A 20,327-nucleotide genomic window follows, 5' to 3' on the forward strand; every position below is an offset into this window, starting at 1 on the left:
TGAGCAACTCACTGAGAGACAACTTTTTAAAAATAAATAAAACTCAGAAAAACAATGTGTCAAAGACAACAGATAGTCAAATAATACAGCATGTATAAAACATCTGGGCAAAAACCAATTTGCTAAGTGAAGTGGTTAGAAAAGGACAAACAAAACACACCAGAGATTTTTATAAACAAAACAATATGTGTACTTTTCAGATAGTCATTTCATTGAAATAAGGAGACCCCCCTCCCCAAACAGTAGCATTTTTAAAATGGAGTTGACTCCTTTTGGAAATAATGTGTAAAAATCAGAATTTTTTCTCATATTCAATCTTTTAGCAAATAATGTAAACTCATAACAGCATTTTAGTGGGTATGCTACTCAATATGATCTTCTGCAATTAGTTTCACATGTGACTCTGGCCCTCTTGTGCAATTACTAAAGGATATAAAGAGACTTGAAGGTTAACAACAATGTATCATGTTTTATCTTTGCTGTTCCAATGTGTATGCACACTTGCATATGAACACATAAACTCTTTCTAAAATCACCATGGGAATAATAACTAAGGTCATCTGAGTTTATACCCTTTATGGGGACAGGGGTAGGTTATGCAGTCATTGCAGAAGGAAACTTCTGATGTCCCTTTATTCTTACGGAGCAGGAGTGGTAAGGCAAAGATCACTCCCTCAGATCAAACTGGTGTCATAACCTGTGAAAAGAACATGGAACAAGGAGAATCAACCTAAACAACTTTATAAGAAACATTTCTAAGAATGTGGTGCAGTGTTAAGTGAAGGCTGAAGACCAAGCTGAAGAAAGAGATTTTTTTTCCATTATCTTCCAGAGTTTCTTTGTGCCCATTTTCTTTTTTCTGTTTATTTCTTTTTATTTTGTTATTTTACTTTAAGTTCTAGGATACATGTGCTGAATGTGCCAGTTTGTTACATAAGTATACATGTGCCATGGTGGTTTGCTGCACCTATCAACCCGTCATCTAGGTTTTAAGCTCCGCGTGCATTAAGTATTTGTCCTAATGCTCTCCCTCCCCTATCCCCCCACCCCGTGACAGGCCCCAGTGTGTGATGTTCCCCTCCCTGTGTCCACGTGTTCTCATTGTTCAGCTCCCACTTATGAGTGAGAACATGCAGTGTTTGGTTTTCTTTTCCTGTGTTAGTCTGCTGAGGATGATGGTTTCCAGCTTCATCCATGTCCCTGCAAAGGACATGAACTCATTCTTTTTATGGCTGCATAGTATTCCATGGTGTATATGTGCCACATTTTCTTTATCCAGTCTATCATTGATGGGGGTTTGGGTTGGTTCCAAGTCTTTGCTATTATAAATAGTGCTGCAATAAACACATGTGTGCATGTGTCTTTATAGTAGAATGATTTATAGGCATGGGCAAAGACTTCATGACTAAAACACTAAAAGCAATTGCAACAAAAGACAAAATTGACCAATGGGATCTAATTAAACTAAAGAGCTTCTGCTCAGCAAAGTAAACTATCATCAGAGTGAATAGATAACCTACAGAATAGGAGAAAATTTTTGCAATCTATCTGACAAGGGCCTAATATCCAGAATCTACAAGGAACTTAAACAAGTTTACGAGAAAAAAAACAAACCCATCAAAAAGTGGGCAATGGATATGAATAGACACTTCTCAAAAGAAGACATTTATGTGGCCAACAAACTTATGAATAAAAGCTCATCATCACTGGTCATTAGAAAAATGCAAATGAAAACCATAATGAGATACCATCTCATGCCAGTTAGAATGGCGATCATTAAAAAGCCTGGAAACAACAGATGCTGGCAAGGATGTGGGGAAATAGGAATGTTTTTACACTGTTGGTGGGAGTGTAAATTAGTTCAACCATTGTGGAAGACAGTGTGGTGATTCCTCAAGGATCTAGAACCAGAAATACCATTTGACCCAGCAGTCCCATTACTGGGTATAAAGAGACTGTTTTTAGAGACAATTACTGGCAGAATCCTCTGAGCAACGCTGCTCTCTGACAATGTTTTCTCTCTGAGAGCAGTTGGGCCCACCACTTCCCAAACATAACAACAAAGAGTATCTCCCTTGTCAAGACCACATACTGTAAATTTAGACAGATGCAGGTTCAAATCCCAACCACTTATGTGCCATTTAAGTTCTGTGACTTGGAGCATCTTGTTTAATTTCTCCAAGCTTTAATTTCCTCATCTAAGAAATAGAGATAATAATATCATCCCCATAATTACCGTTAAATGTAAAGCATTTAGCTCTGGTGTTTGGCACAGAGCAGGTACTCAACAAATGTTAGCTAAAATGATAAACATTAATAACATTAATAAACTGATATTTAGAAACAATCCATTTGTTTCTCACCAGGTTTACTTTGGTTCTCAAATGGCCTGATTGCCCCATCTGGTTGCCAAACTCTTAACTATTTTAATATAACTGGAGTTCAGTCAGTGTGTAATGGTAAGACAGTCCCCATCAACTAATTATGCCTGCACCATTTTATATTTCTTCAGTGTTTCATGTGTGTCTAGTCATTTGGTAAGTCCTTTGGAATTTATAATAACACCTTCCCTAAGAGACTGTAGGTTGAGCTCATGGAACTGGCTAAGGCAAACAGCATTATCCTGATTAGAAAGACAAATACAGGTGGGAAATAAGCACAAGCCTACTCCAGGAGAAGAAGCTACAAATCAGAAGCTCACAGTTCAGTTAGGAGAGCTTAAAAAAGAAGTTAACCGCGGAACATGACTTAGTGGGAGGTTGAATAGCAACATGGAACTGAGAGAAAGTCTTAGAGAGAAGGCAGTTGCCTGGCTTGGGTGGTGTGTCATATTTCTCCTTATCCCGCTTGTTAAAGATGTGTTTTAGTAGCTCAACAAGTTCTGCAGAAGAAGAAATAGGTTTAGATGACTTTGGATGGGAGGAAATTTCTTATACCCATCTTAGGTACATTGGCTGGAACCCTGAGTATTAGACTGACAAAAGACACATTCACAAGAGAAAAATAAACAGTTTATGAATGTGTGTAGTGCACATCACATGGAAGAAACCTCATTGATGAGTAACTCAAAGTTGTGGTTAGAACTTCAGCTTATATAGCCTCTTAGCAAAGAAAAAGAAATTTATAGAGAAGGGACAAGACAAAGGAAAAGGGTTTTAGGCTTCCAAAGGTGGCAAACTGTGGGAAGGTAACTATGTGTGGGAAACAGAGTAAGATTTGTTTATGCGGGTCCATCTCAGGACTGACTTTCCATCTTTTTTGTGGTCATAAAACTTCCACAGGAGAGATGATTTATGGTGGTTCTCATTTCTCAGAAATTTCTGCTTTTAGTTAAATAAGAGAAGCTCTGGAAAGGTTTCTTTCTTCATCTGTTGTTTCTTATTTGCCTCCAACTCAAAATAATCTTTATGCCAAGGTAACACATTTTGGAGTGGCACATTTTGCTCCCCTACAACTTCCTAGAGCAGGAAAACCATGTTAATTACTTGCACCCACATAAGCAGTGGGACAGAAACTCTATAATCTTCTCATAGATTACCTACCACCCAAGCTAATGAGCTCACCATTAAAAGTCACCCACTAACACATGTACTCTCTATGATCCACCTGGATAGGCGTGTGACTTTAATAGATAATTTTGAAGTTAACTCTAAAGCACTAGAAGCATAAAAATTGTAGTGGAAGAACTGCAAGTGGAAGAAATGGGAAACTTTTTCCAAAAATAAGAATCCAAACCCAGTAAAGAGCCACAGCTCCAGGTGTTTGGGAATCTAGCCTGGGGACTCTTCAAAACTCAAGGAGCACTGTACTGCAGGGCCCACTGACCTCCCTGAGACTATCATGATGCACAAAGGATCCTTTCTGCAGTGTGATCACCGGGTGTCTGCTTTTCTAAGAGGCAACATCATTTTATAAATATTTCCTATGGGAATCAATGTGTGTATATAACAAAAAATAAATGTCTAGCCGAGTGTCTTATTTTTTAATATTGTGTTATCTTTAAGAGCAAGGCAGTGCCCTCATCTTCACCTGTGTTGTTCATGTGTATAGATATTGCCTATAAAACACATCTTTCAAACATAATGACTAAATTCTGACATTCATTACCTGGAAGGCATTTGCATTTTCTTCTTGGCTTCTACAGCATATCACTGCGTGTTCAAAGCACCTAAGGAGAGGTGAGGAAGGACATCTGAAAACATTCATTTTATCAAGGTAGATAATAGGAAAATATCCGAAGAACCTATTCAAAAAAATGCCAGAATTATCAAAGTGGAAAACATTAGCATGCACACACATCCTTGGGCTCCTGACGTGACATCAACTATTTTATGGACACTGGTAGCTTAAAAGAGATCTTGCTGAGCACTTCAAAGACTGTCAATGTACATGAGGTCTAGAACAGCAGATAATGAAAATTTTTTGTACCATATCCTCAATTGCTCACATTGTTAAAGGTTCACCTTTTCTAATTCTCCTTTAATTCAGTGGGGCAGGAAAAGAAGTTTATTCTTGCCTTGCTCCATCTCATCACTTCTAAACCACTAATTTATCACCTTCCTTCCATGTATCTTCATTTGAATTTCAAATTTACCGTTATCTCCAAAGCACCACTGAACTCCAAGAACTATTTCAAAGTTTTGAGATAACTTAAAAACTGACCAAAATTTTTCTTGTTCTCCTCAACCCTGAGAGTCTTCCCCTAGTCCCACCCCACTTAATCATGCATTTATTTACTCATTTATCCATTTATTAATTCACCAAGTATTGACTTCCTACTATCATGGCCAGTATACCTAGGATTGCCTAGACCTAAGAGGCTTAGACAACAGATATTTATTGTCTCACAGTTCTGAAGGCTAAAAATCCAAGATCAATGTGCTAGCAAGGTTGACTCCTACCAAGGGCTATGAAGAGAGGATTTGTTCCAGGTCTGTCTCCTTGGCTTGATCATTTTCTTTCTATGTTTCTTCATACCATCTTTCTTTTTTGTATGTCTGTGTCCAAACTTCCCTTTTTTATAAGTACACTAGACATGTTGGTTTAAGGGCCCACCCTACTCCAGTGTGACCTCATCTTAACTAATTACATCTGCAATGACATATTTTCAAATATAGTCATATTCTGGGCAACATGGTGAGGGACTGGTGGTTATGACTTCAGCAAATGAATTTGGGGTGCAAGGGACAATTTAATTCATAACAGCCAAGTACAATGCTAAGTACTATAAAGATAAAAGACCCTGTCTGACATTCTCTTCAACCCCTAGATCTAACCAAAGGCCTTTGCCTCCTACTTTGGAATAAAAACAAGGCTTATTTTGTAGAAATTCCATCAACTGTCATCTTCTCTACCTCTTTATCACATATATTCTCTTGTATTATTTGTGCTTCCATCCTTCCTACTAAACAAACTAGGCCACTAAGCAAGCCAAAACCCAATTCAGCATGAATAGTCCTATCCTAGGAAAATGAAACTTAGTTTTACCAAGTAGAAACTGCCAACAAACCTCTAACTACGGATTTTGAGGCAACTGCTCCACTTTAATCTAACATTTTCTTTGCCTTGCTTCTACGTTCACCTTATAAAAGCCTTCCCCCCACACTCCTTCACTGAAGCCCCAAACCACCTGTGGTCTGGAGCTATCTAATTCATTAATTGCTACTTGCTCCAATGAACTCTTCAAAAATTGAATGTTTTATCACTAAAAAATTGAATCTTTTATCACTATGTAAAGAGTCATTAAATGACTTGGTCACTATGACATCACATATTTGTGATTCAGTGTATTAAATTCATGGCCAAGGCAGTTCCTGTTTTAGAATTTAAATGGTAAGTATTTAGGATATGCTTGATTAGGATACTTATTCAAGGGTTAAGAGGCTCACTAATGTATATCCTGAATTGTCAGGTATATTTACAACATTTTTGTCTCTATTCAATTACATTTGCCTTAGCAGATAAAACCTTTTATTATATTTCTAAATGAACACTTGTCTCCTTGAATTAAAAAACATAGCTTAATTACTACAAAAGAGTACTGAGAAACCAGAGGCCCTGGAGAACAGCAAATGGTACATATTCATAGACATCCTAAGTAGGAAGCAGAAAAATGAGAGTACAAAATGTTTTACAAGCATTGAAAGATAAAATTCCATTAAAAAGTGAAATTGAGGAAAATGGATGTTTTAATAACCAAATGAGACATGTATAGTCAAAGCTGCCTCTTGGGATGTGATTAAATTGATTTGATATTTATATGCCGGAAAGATCAAAATGGGAAAAGAGCTTCTAAAGAAATACTAAGCATGACATTCATTCAATTGTTCAACACTCAAAAACATATATTAAGCCTCTGCTATGCTTCAGACATTGTGCTAGGCACAAGAAATACAACATTGGGTAAGATAGACACAGCTTTAATTAGTTCATAGAATAGGATGCAGAAAAACATTATTCAACAAAATAAGATACTGTTATGAATAGGAAATGCTTGGGATGATGTAAAAGTACATAGCAAGAGCATCTGTGGCTCTTTTCTATTTTCCTAAAGGAAAATCTCCTAAAAGATGATCAGAGCAATGGAGAAAACCAGGTGTCCATGGCAGAGGTAAAGAGAGTCAAAGAAACTAATTGGGAAGGTGCTGAAATAATTCAGATGGTGGCATCAGCTAACATACTGACAGTGGGGATTAGGAAATGGAATGAAATTGAGAAAGCTTTATGATAGATTTGATAGCAATTAACTATTGGTGAGATGGAGGAAGTGAGAAAAAGAAAGGAGTCAAGAGTGATTCCCAGATTCTTGGCTTAGGCAAGCCATGTGGCAAGGACCACAAGAGGAGCAGAATCGGGAGGAAAGATGATGATGCGCTCTATGCATGCTGATGTCAGGGTGCTGGTGAGACTGAGAGAGGATGTTTCTGGTAGGTAAGTATGGAGCTCAAAAGAGAGATCTTAGCTGGAGATATAAACTCAGGACTTAATGGCAAATGGATGGTAACTGAAACTAGGATACTGATGTGATTTACCTAAGGCTTTATAAAAGTAAGATGAGAAAAAGGCTTAAGAAAGCAGTTTGAGGCCAGTACAGTGGCTCATGCCTGTGATCCCAGCACCTTGGGAGGGCAAGGAAAATCACTTGAGCCCAGGAATTTGAAACTAACCTGGACAACATGGTGAAATCCCTTCTCTACGAAAAATACAAAAATTAGCCAGAGGTGGTGGTACGTACCTGTAGTCCCAGATACTTGGGAGGCTGAGGCAGGAGAATCACTTGAACCCAGGAGGCAGAAGTTGCAGTGAGCCAAGATGGAGCCCCTGCACTCCAGCCTGGGTGACAGAGGGAGATTGTGTCTCAAAAAAAAAAAAAAGAAAAAAGGAAAAAAAAAAGAAAAAAACACAAAACAAAAAGAAAGCAGCTTGACATTCAGAGAAATTTAATCCATTCCAAAACATTTGCATTTTTTCTTTTTCTATTATATTTTATTTATTTATTTTTAATTTTACTTTAACTTCTGGGATACATGTGCAGAATGTGCAGGTTTGTTACATAGATATACATGTGCCATGGTGGTTTACTGCATCTATCAACCGTCCTCTAGGTTTTAAGCCCTGCATGCATTAGGTATTTGTCCTAATGTTCTCCCTCCCCTTGCTCCCCAACCCCTGACAGGCCCTGGTGTGTGATGTTCCGCTCCCTGTGTTCATATGTTCTCATTGTTCAACTTCCACTTATGAGTGAGAACATGCAGTGTTGGTTTTCTCTTCCTGTGTTAGTTTGCTGAGAATGATGGCTTCCAGCTTTATACATGTCTCTGCAAAGGACATGAACTCATTCTTTTTTATGGCTGCATAGTATTCCATGGTGTGTATGTGCCACATTTTCTTTATCCAGTCTATGATTGATGGGCATTTCGGTTGGTTCCAAGTCTTTGCTATCATAAATAGTGCTGCAATACATATATGTGTGTATGTGTCTTCATAGTAGAATGATTTATAATCCTTTGGGTATATACTCAGTAATGGGATTACTGGGTCAAATGATATTTCTGGTTCTAGATCCTTGAGGAATTGCCACACTGTCTTCCACAATGGTTGAACTAATTTACATTCCCATCAACAGTGTAAAAGCATTCCTATTCCTCCACAACCTTGCCAGCATCTGTTGTTTCCTGACTTTTTAATAATCACCATTCTAATGAGATGGTATCTCATTGTGGTTCTGATTTGCTTTCCTCTAATGACCATGATGATGAGCTTTTTTTCATATATTTGTTGGTTGCGTAAATGTCTTCTTTTGAGAAGTGCCTGTTCATATCCTTTGCCCACTTTTTGATTGGGTTTTTTGTTTTTTTCTTGTAAATTTGTTGAATTTCCTTGTAGATTCTGGATATTAGACCTTTGTCAGATGAGTAGCTTGCAAAAATTTTCTCCCATTCTGTAGGTTGTCTGTTTACTCTGATGATAGTTTCTTTTGCTGTGCAGAAGCTCTTTAGTGTAATTAGATCCCATTTGTCAATTTTGGCTTTTGTTGCAATTGCTTTTAGTGTTTTAGTCATTAAGTCTTTGCCCCATGCCTATGTCCTGAATGGTATTGCCTAAGTTTTTTTCTAGGGTTTTATGGTTTTGAGTTTTACATTTAAGTCTTTAATCCATCTTGAGTTAATTTTTGTATAAGGTGTAAGGAAGGGGTCCAATTTCTATTCTCTGCATATGGCTAGGCATTTTTCCCAGCACCATTTATTAGATAGGGAATTCTTTCCCCATTGCTTGTTTTTGTAGGTTTGTCAAAGATCAGATGGTCGTAGATGTGTGGTGTTATTTCTGAGGCCTCTGTTCTGTTCCATTGGTCTATATATCTGTTTTGGTACCAGTACCATGCTGTTTTGGTTACTGTAGCCTTGTAATATAGTTTGAAGTCAGGTAGTGAGGTGACTCCAGCTTTCTTCTTACTGCTTAGGATTGTCTTGGCTATACAGGCTCTTCCAAAACATTTGCATTTTAAAGAGGTGAAGGTTGGGCTAGGAGCTGGGTAGATAAATGAAGTGTGTTTCATAAATACAAAGTTTGAGAAGCCTGAGATATCCAAAAAGAAGCTAGGTTGGATTTAGCTTCTAGCAAGCATCCTGTTCCTTCAGTAACAGTCAAGGAATTACAAAGGTCAAAATAGAAGAGTAGCCACAAGTATTTATCTTCATTCTTTATCATGATCTCTTAAAATTATATGAAGTAATATAATAGGTATAAACTCACTCTAAATCCTGTAGCAGGAAGATTCAGGATTCCAGGAAGAAGCTAACTGAAAAAAAATTAAAGATGTGATATTATTCTTGAGAAGTTACTAAGAACTTCAGAATGTAATAAAAAGTCAGTGCAATAAATTTGGAATGTAAATAAAATCTTCATAAAAAATTAAAAGATGCTTAAAAGACAACATAATCATACAATACTGATAGCCAGAGCAAAAGCAATTGCACAGCAATAACAAAATGCACAGTATATATTTACTGACTTGCAAAATTCATTGTCAATTACTAGACAAAAATCCAAAAGAAATAGGATTACCAAATAGAATTTATATCTTATCAACCTTAACAATTTAAAGTGAAAGTTAAAATGTACAAATTTTGGTGAATGAAAGAAAGAAAAGGTGAAGTTAAGTCACATTAGAATGTGAGGATTCAAGATTTATTGCACATAGTTCATGGAACAAGAATTTTAAAAATTATTGAAATTTATTAAGAGGAATAGAAGTATACTAATTATGATATTGGTATGGGGAAAGGAAATTTAGTAAGTTTTGAAAAAGTATGCTAAATTTTATCTATCATAGCAGAAACTAATAGATCATGTTTAAATTAAGTAATATGTGCATAGTATATGGTGGTAGGTTGAAACTGCTAGAAGAAAAATTTAAAAATAGCAATCTCAAAAAATAAATAAAATTTAAAAAATAAAAACAGCTATCTCTGCAATAGAGGAAGTAGATAATTGAAAGAGATATAGGCCGGGCACGGTGGCTCACACCTGTAATCACAACACTTTGGGAGGGTGAGGCAGGGGGATCACCTGAGGTCAAGAGTTCAAGACCAGCCTGGCCAATATGGTGAAACCCTGTCTCTACTAAAAATACAAAAATTAGCTGGGTATGGTGGCAGGCGCCTGTAATCCCAGCTACTTGGGAGGCTGAGACAGGAGAATCACTTAAACTCAGAAGGTGGAGGTTGCAGTGAGCCAAGATCATGCCATTGCACTCCAGCCTGGGCAACAAGAGTGAAACTCCGTCTCAAAAAAAAAGAAAAAGAAAAAGAAAAGAGATATAACTGAGAACATTTCATCCTAAGCCCTTAGCTATTTTTTGATTATCAACATACGCATTTTATTTTTTATATAAATTAAAAATATATTTTAAAAAAGTAATGAAGTCTGCAACAATCTACTCCCAACCTATTTGTCTAACTTTATTTCTTTTTTTCTTTCTTTCTTTCTTTCTTTGTCTTTCTCTCTCTCTCTCTCTCTCTCTCTCTCTCTCTCTCTCTCTCCTTTCTTCTTTCTTCTTTACCTTAGCTGCAACCAAAATTGACTATCCAACAGAAGTTACTGAGACTGTTCCATTTGGTGCACTGGAGGAGCGTTATGTAGTACTAGGGGCAAATAAAAGCCAGCTGGAGTACTAAGTATATTACCAACAGCATTTGTCTAGTCTTCTTTCTTATAACTGTACACATACATACCCCACCAACAACAATACCCACTATAACAGCACATTCATAAGAGATGGTGCCATTTAATCTTCAACTTAGCTCAGATTCCAAGATTTTAAGCTCTCTGCTACCCATCTACTGTGAGGTTGTTCCTGATATTCAGTGCAGCATAGCTCTTTAATTCTTCTTTCTCTATTTTAGTCATATTCTCTGCTAACTTAACAACCCACTCCACATTCTTGGTCAGCTCCCAATCCTCAGATTCTGCTAACTTCATAATATAGGTCACCATGTGACTTGTTGACTTCTCCATCTGTCCAAATCTTACACATTATTTCAGATCCACCTCAAATGCCAGTTCCTCATCATTTCTTCTCTGGACTCAACAGAGCTTTGCTTCCTATTTATAAAAACAAAGGTCACCATGCTTTATATTACAAATTGGTTGTTTATATAAATTTATTACAAAATTATTGTATATGTATATTTTAAGTTTCTCTTAATTTTAAATTCTTTCAAGGCCAGGATTAAAGCTTGCTAATCTCTTATCTAACATAGTAAATGTAATATTTTAATGCATATAATGCTCCTTAGATGAATATTTAACTGTATTTTAATTTTGGTGAGATTCTCACTGTCTTAGTTCATTTAGTATGTTCTTTTAAAGAAATACCTAAAGCTGGGTAATTTATAAAGAAAAGAGGTTTATTTGGCTCATGGTTCTGCAGGCAGAGCAAGAAGCATGGCACAAGCATCTGCTTCTGGCGAGGGCTTCAGGCTCCTTCCACTTATGGCGGAGGGTGACTGGCAATGCACAGAGATCCCAAGCAAGAGAGGAAGCAAGAGAGAGAGTGGGGAGGTGTCCGGTTCTTTTTAACAATCAGTTCTTGCAGGAGCTAATAGACTGAGAACTCACTCACCCCTACCCTTAGAGAGGGTATTAATATTCATGAGGGATCCACCTCCATGCCCCAAACACCTCTCATTTGATCTCCTATATTGGGGATCAAATTTCAACATGAGATTTGGAGGGGAAGACACACCTGAACTATAGCACTCATGGATTTTTATTAATTGGGCAATTCGGAATTATTTTCTGTAGGTTTTTGAGGGGAGGCTTTCATTTTCTTCATAGGCATTTACTGTATGTTACATACTTTTTATACTATGGCTCTTCCAAAACAAAGATGGCTTGCAAAATAGTAACAAAATAGTAATAGTAACAAAATAATATTATGGGGTTAATAAAATGGAAACTGAAAATTTAAGTGTGGAAAGGAGTCAAGTATGTTTCACATATTTTCTGTGATTGAGCCTTAATATTGTTTTTGCAGCTTTCTAATATCCAGAGCAAAAAGGGAAATATTAATTTCAACTGGTGTTTCTAGATAAATGCTCTAATTTGAAGGTGTTGGTAACCAGCTAGACTTCTTAGGGAACTTTCAAACAGTGTGAGGGACATATCAAAAGATCTCACACATGGGAAATTATGATCGATCCTAGAAGCAGAAAGTGGGACAGAAAAAAATATTTGGTGACATAATGGATGAATAGCTCCCAAATTTTAGGGAGGACATGTTTACAGATTCAAGAAGCGCAGAAAACCCTAAGCAGTGTGAATTTAAGATAACCGCATCTAGGCATACCATATTCAAACCACAGAACCAAAAAGTAAAGAGAAAATCTTGAAAACAGCCAGGAAAAGAACAGCATATTTGAACAATTATTTGAACAAATTTGAACAATGATTCAATATTTTTTAAGAATGAAAATAAAGACATGTCCAGATAAAAATAAAACTAGCAGGGTTCATCACCAGCAGCTCTGCAATAAAACTAATGTTAAAGAAGCTCTTTCGTGAGACTCCGTCTCAAAAAAAAAAAAAAAAAAAAAAAGAAGCTCTTTTGGCTGAAGAAAAATCATACCTGATAAAAATCATGAGAATCTATAAACATCTAGGTCAATATAAGAGAATATTGTTTTCTCCTAATTTCTTTAAAATGCATATGGTTTCAAAGCAAAAACTGTAATATTCTTTTGTGTGGTTTATAGAATAAATACATATACATATGAAAATTATAATAAATGGACCTATGGAGTCGCAAAGTTTCTCCATTTTTCATGGAGTCATACAATATTAACTCTAAGTAGACTGAGAAGTTAAGAATGTGTATTGTAACTCCATGAGCAACCATTGAAACTAATGCAAAAAACTCTGAAAATCTAATAAATAAAATATAGTTTAAAAATATTCAATTAATCTAAAAGGAAGCAAGAAAGGTGGAATATAGGAGCAAAGAAGCAGAGGGGACAACAGAAAACAGATAGTAAAATGGTAGACCTAATTGTAAACATGCCAGTAATTCTATTAGCTGTTGTTGGACTAAACACCCCAATTAAAAGATAGAGATTGTCAGAATGAATTTTTTAAACACCCAAACATGTTATCTCAAGAAGATGCAGGCTGGGCACAGTGGCTCATGCTGGTAATCTTAGCACTTTGGGAGACCGAGGCGGAAGGATCACTTGAGCTTAGGAGCTCGAGACCAGGCTGGGCAACATAGTGAGACCTAGTCTCTAAAAAATAAAAATAAACATAAATTAGCTGGGTGTAGTGGCACACACCTATAGTCCCACCTATTCGGGTGGCTGAGGTGGGAAGACTGCATAGCTCAGTCGGTCTAGGCTGCAGTGAGCCATGTTCGCACCATTGCACTTCAGCTTGGGTGACGGTATGCGATCCTGTCTCAAAAAATCTAAACAAAACAAAAAAAGAAGATGCACTTTAAATATAAAGATGCTGATAGATTGAAATTAAATAGCTGGGAGAAAAATGCCATGCAAACTATAGGCATGAGAAAGGCTAGAGTGTTTATATTAGTATGAGATAAGGTAGACTTCAAGACAAAGAGTATTACTGGAATAAAGAGGGACATTTCATAATGCTAAAAGAACCAATAAATCAGGAAGATATAACAATCATAAATATGTATGTACCTAATACAGACTTTAAAATATATAAAGAAAAAAATGAGAATTACTGGAGCAATAGACAATTCCAGGATCATACTTGGAGATTTTAACACTCCTTTCTTAGCAATTGATGGGCCAATGATTCAAAAAATTTAGGGGAAAACAATGATACGATTTCTGCAAAAACAGATAATCCCTGATGTAGACAATAAAAAGATAGTTATACCAATATTGTTGCTAATATCAAACTGTGAAACAAAATTTACCAATGATCAACAAATGCATATACAGTCATACTTCACTTGATGATGAGGATATGTTCTGAGAAATGAAAAATCTACACAAATCTACGTGAAATATCTAATTTTTACTAGCACTTCTTGTCATAATACATCTTGGATAAGTTTCTTTTTTGAGTCTCACATATGACATCCATAAAATATTAATATAAATATCCATAACTCACTCTCCAAAATCAGAAAGCTGGCCTGATACCTCCTTGGGTTTTCTTTCACTACCAATGTATATGATTCTGCAAAATTAAAGCTATGAATTTTTCATTTGATACCCAAAATCTTGTAAGCTTAGAACTTGAAGACAGGCACAGCATGCAGTCATATAGTAAACACAAATAATGCTATCTGTAATGAAATTTTAACATTTTGACATTTGACAGAAGAATTCAAACCATCAAAAGAAATATTTTGTGTGTGTGTGGAGAGTAACCTTATTCATCGTCCATAATGATGATTTTCTTATTTTTCTTTCCTGAAATGCTGTGTTAAATAAAATCTTATATATAAATACAATCTTTATAATATAAACACAGTCTTATAGAGAAGACACATATATATAAAACAAATGAAACCACAACTGCTCTTGTTGACGTGATAGGTAGGAGCCCAGATTTCATTCCACCTAGGGGAAAATCGAGCACAGGTTCTCCCTCAAGGGGGCGCCTTAGAGCACAGCTGAAGCTAAAGCACAGGTGGAAGAATCACTGTAAAAGGAGTCTCCTTGGCTGGACATTCTTTCAGCTGCCATAATAGTTTCTTATTAAGACTTTCCTGAAACTCCAAAAATCACTGATCTGCATAGTCTTACTTTTTTCTACTCTTCTCAATGCCAGACATTGATGCGTGAAAAAAATATGCATCTCAGCATTTTATTATATTCTGTTATAGTGCTTTAAATTGCTTTGCTGAATTGTGTTATGTATAAATCTAATCAGCATTCCCTAATTCCCTTCTACCATAAGATCTCGAAAAGAATATATAATTGCTGAATTGACTAAATTATCAGGATCCAACATCTGGTTTGAATTAAACATTAAAATATATGAGGAAAATATTGAAAGACTACAAAAGATAGCAATACAGATGAAAAATATGGAAAATAAAGGAAGTGAACCTGTTTAATTGGTCAATGAAAAGGCAGTGAGAAACTTACTGTCTTTGAATTAGGAGGAAAAAACTATTATGCAGTAATGACTTTTTAATCCTTGCTATTTCATGAGGGATTTGCTACAAAAAGGAGGGATTTCCTCTTAATGAGAACTGACTGGACCCACAGTGCTAGTCAGCAATTCCAAATCAGCAAACTCACCCATTGTTCTGAATAGTCTTTCTAAGCATTTACCATATTCTTCAAGATTTCTGTCCCACTTTAACTCTCTGAGAATATCCAAAAAAGAAACTAAAAGGCACGAATAAAGGCAATGAGAGTGGGATTGCAGGGCATTGCTAATGAGGGAAAGATGTGGCAGCTTCTTGGAATAGAAAGGACGTTGGATTCCAAAAGGACGGAGAGAGGGAGAAGTGCCGGTTGACCTCCAGGACTCTGAACTGTGCAGCTCAGTTATGGGTGCTGCTGTTCACCAAGACTGGGCATGTCGGAGGAGGCAGAAGATGGAAAGAAAAGGAAGGAATGGTGATGATTGGGGGAATATGTGTATTCCTTTTGGATACACTGAATCAAAGTGCCTTTAGGAATTGCAGTGGAAATGTCTAGAATGCAGTCAGGTATACACAACTAAAGCTGGGTTGAAACACAGATTTTGGAGTTCTCGGGATGGCCAATGTCACAGGTATGGTTGAAAATGACCAAAAAGAGCAAGTAAAAGAGAGGTGCTCAACTTGGGATCCACAAACTCCTGTGGGTACCATGAGTGATCTTCAGAAGCATCCTTTAATCCCCGAAATTTCATGAGATTTTTGTGAGCATGTTCTTTTCCTCAGGAGAGAAGGCCTGTATCTTTCTCCATGTTCTCAAAAATTCATTACCCAAAAAGGTTTTGAACCAGAGATCTAGATTGAGAAACGAAAATATCCAGGAAACATTCTCTGAAGAATATGTCCATCCATACGGCCGGGAGCGGTGGCTCACGCCTGTAATCACAGCACTTTGGGAGGCCGAGTCGGGCGGATAACGAGGTCAGGAGTTCAAGAACAGCCTGACCAACATGGTGAAACCCCTTCTCTACTAAAAATACAAAAATTAGCCGGGCGTGGTGGCATACACCTGTAATCCTAGCTACTCAGGAGGCTGAGGCAGGAGAATCGCTTGAACCCGGGAGGCAGAGGTCGCAGTGAGCCGAGATCGCACCACTGCACTCCAGCCTAGGTGACAGAGTGACACTCCGTCTCAAAAAAAAAAAAAAGAATATGTCCATACACATAAAATATAAAATATATAAATGTTCATACACATAAAGACAATTAGTTGCCAAAAGGGAGCCTGAGAAAGAGCTGGCAGTCAGAGAGCAGAAGCAGAAAGACGCAAGACTGGATCCAAGAGAAGGCAAGTTTTCAAATAGGAGAATGCCCCATTCTGTCACTCAGGGTAGAGATCAAATATTAACCCTCAGAAGGGCCTTCTCTAATCACTTAGCTCAACCACCCATACGGGTGTATTTCCCACATGAACGAGAAAGTTCGCTGTGAGCAGGAACCCTGAATCCCAGTGCTTGCAACATAACGAACATAAAGTAATTGTCAGATGATTAACTGATTGACTGCTATTGGAGACAATCTGCAATTTTTAAATTCCATTTTTACCTTTCCTTGTTCCAAAAATACATTACATTCAAGTAGTTCAAAGACATTTTTGATTTAATAACTAAATGAACAAGTGAGCAAATATATTACCATTTGTTTCCCGGTACGACCAATAACAATAAAGGCAGAGTGCTATCGAAGAATGCAGAAAAAAAGGAGGAGGCAAAAACATAGGTAACTGAACAGTAAAGTAACTAAAAGCGTTAGTCACTGACATTTATACTTATTAGTGAGTTTTCTGACTAAAAGTTATTATTTATGTAATATAAGCATTTCATTTTATTCTATAATCTATAATGCTAGACAGGAGCAAATGCAGCAGTTGTCAATAATTGCTAAAAGCCTACCACACTGGACAATTCAAAGGTCTTTATTATAAGCCAAATGCTGTAAAACATAATGTCCTAAGGCAGTTAGGCAATAAACTTTTACTGAGGAAAATGAACTCTTCTTTCCTAGCCAATTTGAATAAAAACAACAAAAGTTATTTCAAACATTTTAACATAATGCTACACACTCATCTCCAATAAAATACATTATTTCTCAGAGTTATAGGATATTACATTATTGAAAATAGACTTGTTTCCTTACTTTTTATATTTAGGCCATGTTTAATACTTTCTATAAATAAACTATCAGACAAGATGATACCTCAACCTTAAGCAAAGTATTTTATACTTTTACTTTCAGAGATTCATAACAACACTTGATTTACATTTTAAAATATTAAATTCTACTTTCTGAGATGCAGATATAACAAGTACATCAATTTCACAATAGGAAAAGCATCTGTGTATTAAACAGTTCAGGTAGAAGATGGTCTCTGAAATCAAATAGCTTGTGAACTGATGCATTTTTCAAAGATTTGTCTTCAGTGAATTCTGCTGGGGAGAGCAAGATTTTCAAAGTGGCTGTCGTATCCTCATTCCTGTACTGACTCGTAAGAGCCAAGAAAGGAGAAAGGAAAATTGACATCTGCGCACAGCTTAATGTTGGTACAGGTGCAGGGCAAGCTACATAATTTACAGGGTCAAGCGCAAAATGAAAATTTGGGACTCCTTTTTCAAAAAGCAGGGGAAAGCATTTTTTAAAGGTATGAAAATATAAAGCTTTTTCATTTCTTCTCTCTCTCTTTTTCTCTCTCTCTCTGTCACAGTGGGGTTTTTTTATTGAATTAGAAACTGGAGGTAATTTTTTTTTCTTTTTTATTTTATTTTATTTTACTTTATGTTCTGGGATACATGTGCAGAACTTGCAGGTTTGTTACATAGGTATACATGTGCCATGGTGGTTTGCTGCACTCATCAACCCGTCTTCTAGGTTTTTAAGCCCCACATGCATTAGGTATTTGTTCTAATGCTCTCCCTCACAGTGTTCCCCACCGCCCGACAGGACCCAGTGTGTGATGTTCCCGTCCCTGTGTCCGCGTGTTCTCATTGTTCAACTTGTCACAGTGTTTTTTATTTGCACTATAATGTTGTTCTAGGTAAAGAAAAATTAAAATTTTAAATTATTAAAATGAATTTTGCTGTTCATCTATGTATTGTACAGTGCAAATTTTAAATGCAAATATAGGAATATTTAACTTATACAAAATGACCACAATTACTTGATTTGTATTTCATAGCTCACACGTCAATACACATTTTGTTCTTAGCAAAACAATGGAAACACTATGCAAAACTAACTCAACTGTTCTTATTTCACTTCTTAATACATCACATCGTACCAATATTCTCTACAGATAAATAAGGAAGGTTTGAAAAAACAAGAAACTATGAATAATCCTACTTTTCACTTTCCCTCTTTGTCATCATTTTCAGTGTAAATGTTTAGCTAGTATAAAAAGGAGAAAGGAGTAACAAGGGATATGCTAGGGTACCTATGTATGTCATTGGTTTAGAAGGACACTGCCCACTTTCAAAGCAATTCGTGTTCAAATAGAAAGCGAGCCTCTCAGCCTGTTTGCACTGCACTTAGTTTGACACTCAACTTGCTTAGTTTTTTGTTTGTTTTGTTTTATTATATTTTAAGTTCTGGGGTACATGTGCATAATGTGCAGGGTTGTTACATAGGTATACATGTGCCATGGTGGTTTGCTGCACCCATCGACCCATCATCTACCTTAGGTATCTCTCCTGCTATCCCTCCCCTAGTCCCCCACCCCCCGACAGGCCCCAGTGTGTGATGTTCCCCTCCCTGTGTCCACGTGTTCTCATTGTTCAACTCTGACTTAAGAGTGAGAACATGCGGTGTTTGGTTTTCTGTCTTGAGTTTGCTGAGAATGATGGCTTCCAGCTCCATCCATGTCCCTGCAAAGGACATGAATTCATCCTTTTTTATGGCTGCATAGTATTCCATGGTGTATATGTGCCACATTTTCTTTATCCAGTCTATCCTTGATGGGCATTTCGGTTGGTTCCAAGTCTTTACTATTGTAAATAGTGCTGCAACAAATATATGTGTGCATGTGTCTTTATAGTAGAATGATTTATAACCCTTTGGGTATATGCCCAGTGATGGGATTGCTGGGTCAAATGATATTTCTGGTTCTAGATCCTTGAGGAATCGCCACACCGTCTTCCACACTGGTTGAACTAATTTACACTCCCAGCAACAGTGTAAAAGTGTTCCTATTTCTCCACATCCTCTCCAGCATCTGTTGTTTCCTGACTTTTTAATGATTGCCATTCTAATGAGATGGTATCTCATTGTGGTTTTGATTTGCATTTTTCTAATGACCAGTGATGATGAGCTTTTTTTCATATGTTTGTTGGTTGCATAAATGTCTTCTTTTGAGAAATGTTTGTTCATATCTTTCTCTCCCACTTTTTGATGGGGTTGTTTGTTTTTTTCTTGTAAATTTGTTTAAGTTCTTTGTAGATTCTGAATATTAGACCTTTGTCAGATGGATAGACTGCAAAAATGTTCTCCCATTCTGTAGGTTGCCTGTTCACTGTAATGATAGTTTCTTTTGCTATGCAGAAGCTCTTTAGGTTGATTAGATCCCATTTGTGTATTTTGGCTTTTGTTGCCATTGCTTTTGGTGTTTTAGTCATGAAGTCTTTGCCCATGCCTATGTCCAGAATGGTATTGCCTAGGTTTTCTTCCATGGTTTTTATGGTTTTAGGTCTTACTTTTAAGTCTTTAATCCATCTTGAGTTAATTTTTGTATAAAGTGTAAGGAAGGGATCCAGTTTCTATTTTCTGCGTATGGCTAGCCAGTTTTCCCAGCACCATTTATTAAATAGGGAATCCTTTGCCCATTGCTTGTTTTTGTCAGGTTTGTCAAAGATCAGATGGTTGTAGATGTGTGGTGTTATTTCTGAGGCCTCTGCTCTGTTCCATTGGTCTATATATCTGTTTTGGCACCAGTACCATGCTGTTTTGGTTACTGTAGCGTTGTAATATAGTTTGAAGTCAAGTAGTGTGATGCCTCCAGCTTTGTTCTTTTTGCTTAGGATTGTCTTGGCTATGTGGGCTCTTTTTTGGTTGCATGTGAAATTTAAAGTAGTTTTTTCTAATTCTGTGAAGAAAGTCCATGGTAGCTTGAAGGGGATAGCATTGAATCTATAAATTACTTGGGCAGTAT

The 20,327-nt window shown here is 36.7% G+C and overlaps 1 long non-coding RNA gene across 1 annotated transcript in view; it reads right to left on the reverse strand.

The window, feature by feature from the left end:
- Positions 1 to 7,416: 7,416 nt before the first annotated feature.
- The window catches only part of RXFP1-AS1 (RXFP1 antisense RNA 1), a 75,659-nt gene continuing 62,748 nt past the window's right edge, over positions 7,417 to 20,327 (reverse strand). The window contains exon 4 of the long non-coding RNA XR_007058351.1: positions 7,417 to 9,301. This is a non-coding gene — a long non-coding RNA (RXFP1 antisense RNA 1). The remainder of the gene's footprint in view (positions 9,302 to 20,327) is intronic.

Source organism: Homo sapiens, chromosome 4 (genome assembly GCF_000001405.40).
Source record: "Homo sapiens chromosome 4, GRCh38.p14 Primary Assembly".
In the NCBI taxonomy this organism is placed as follows: domain Eukaryota; kingdom Metazoa; phylum Chordata; class Mammalia; order Primates; family Hominidae; genus Homo; species Homo sapiens.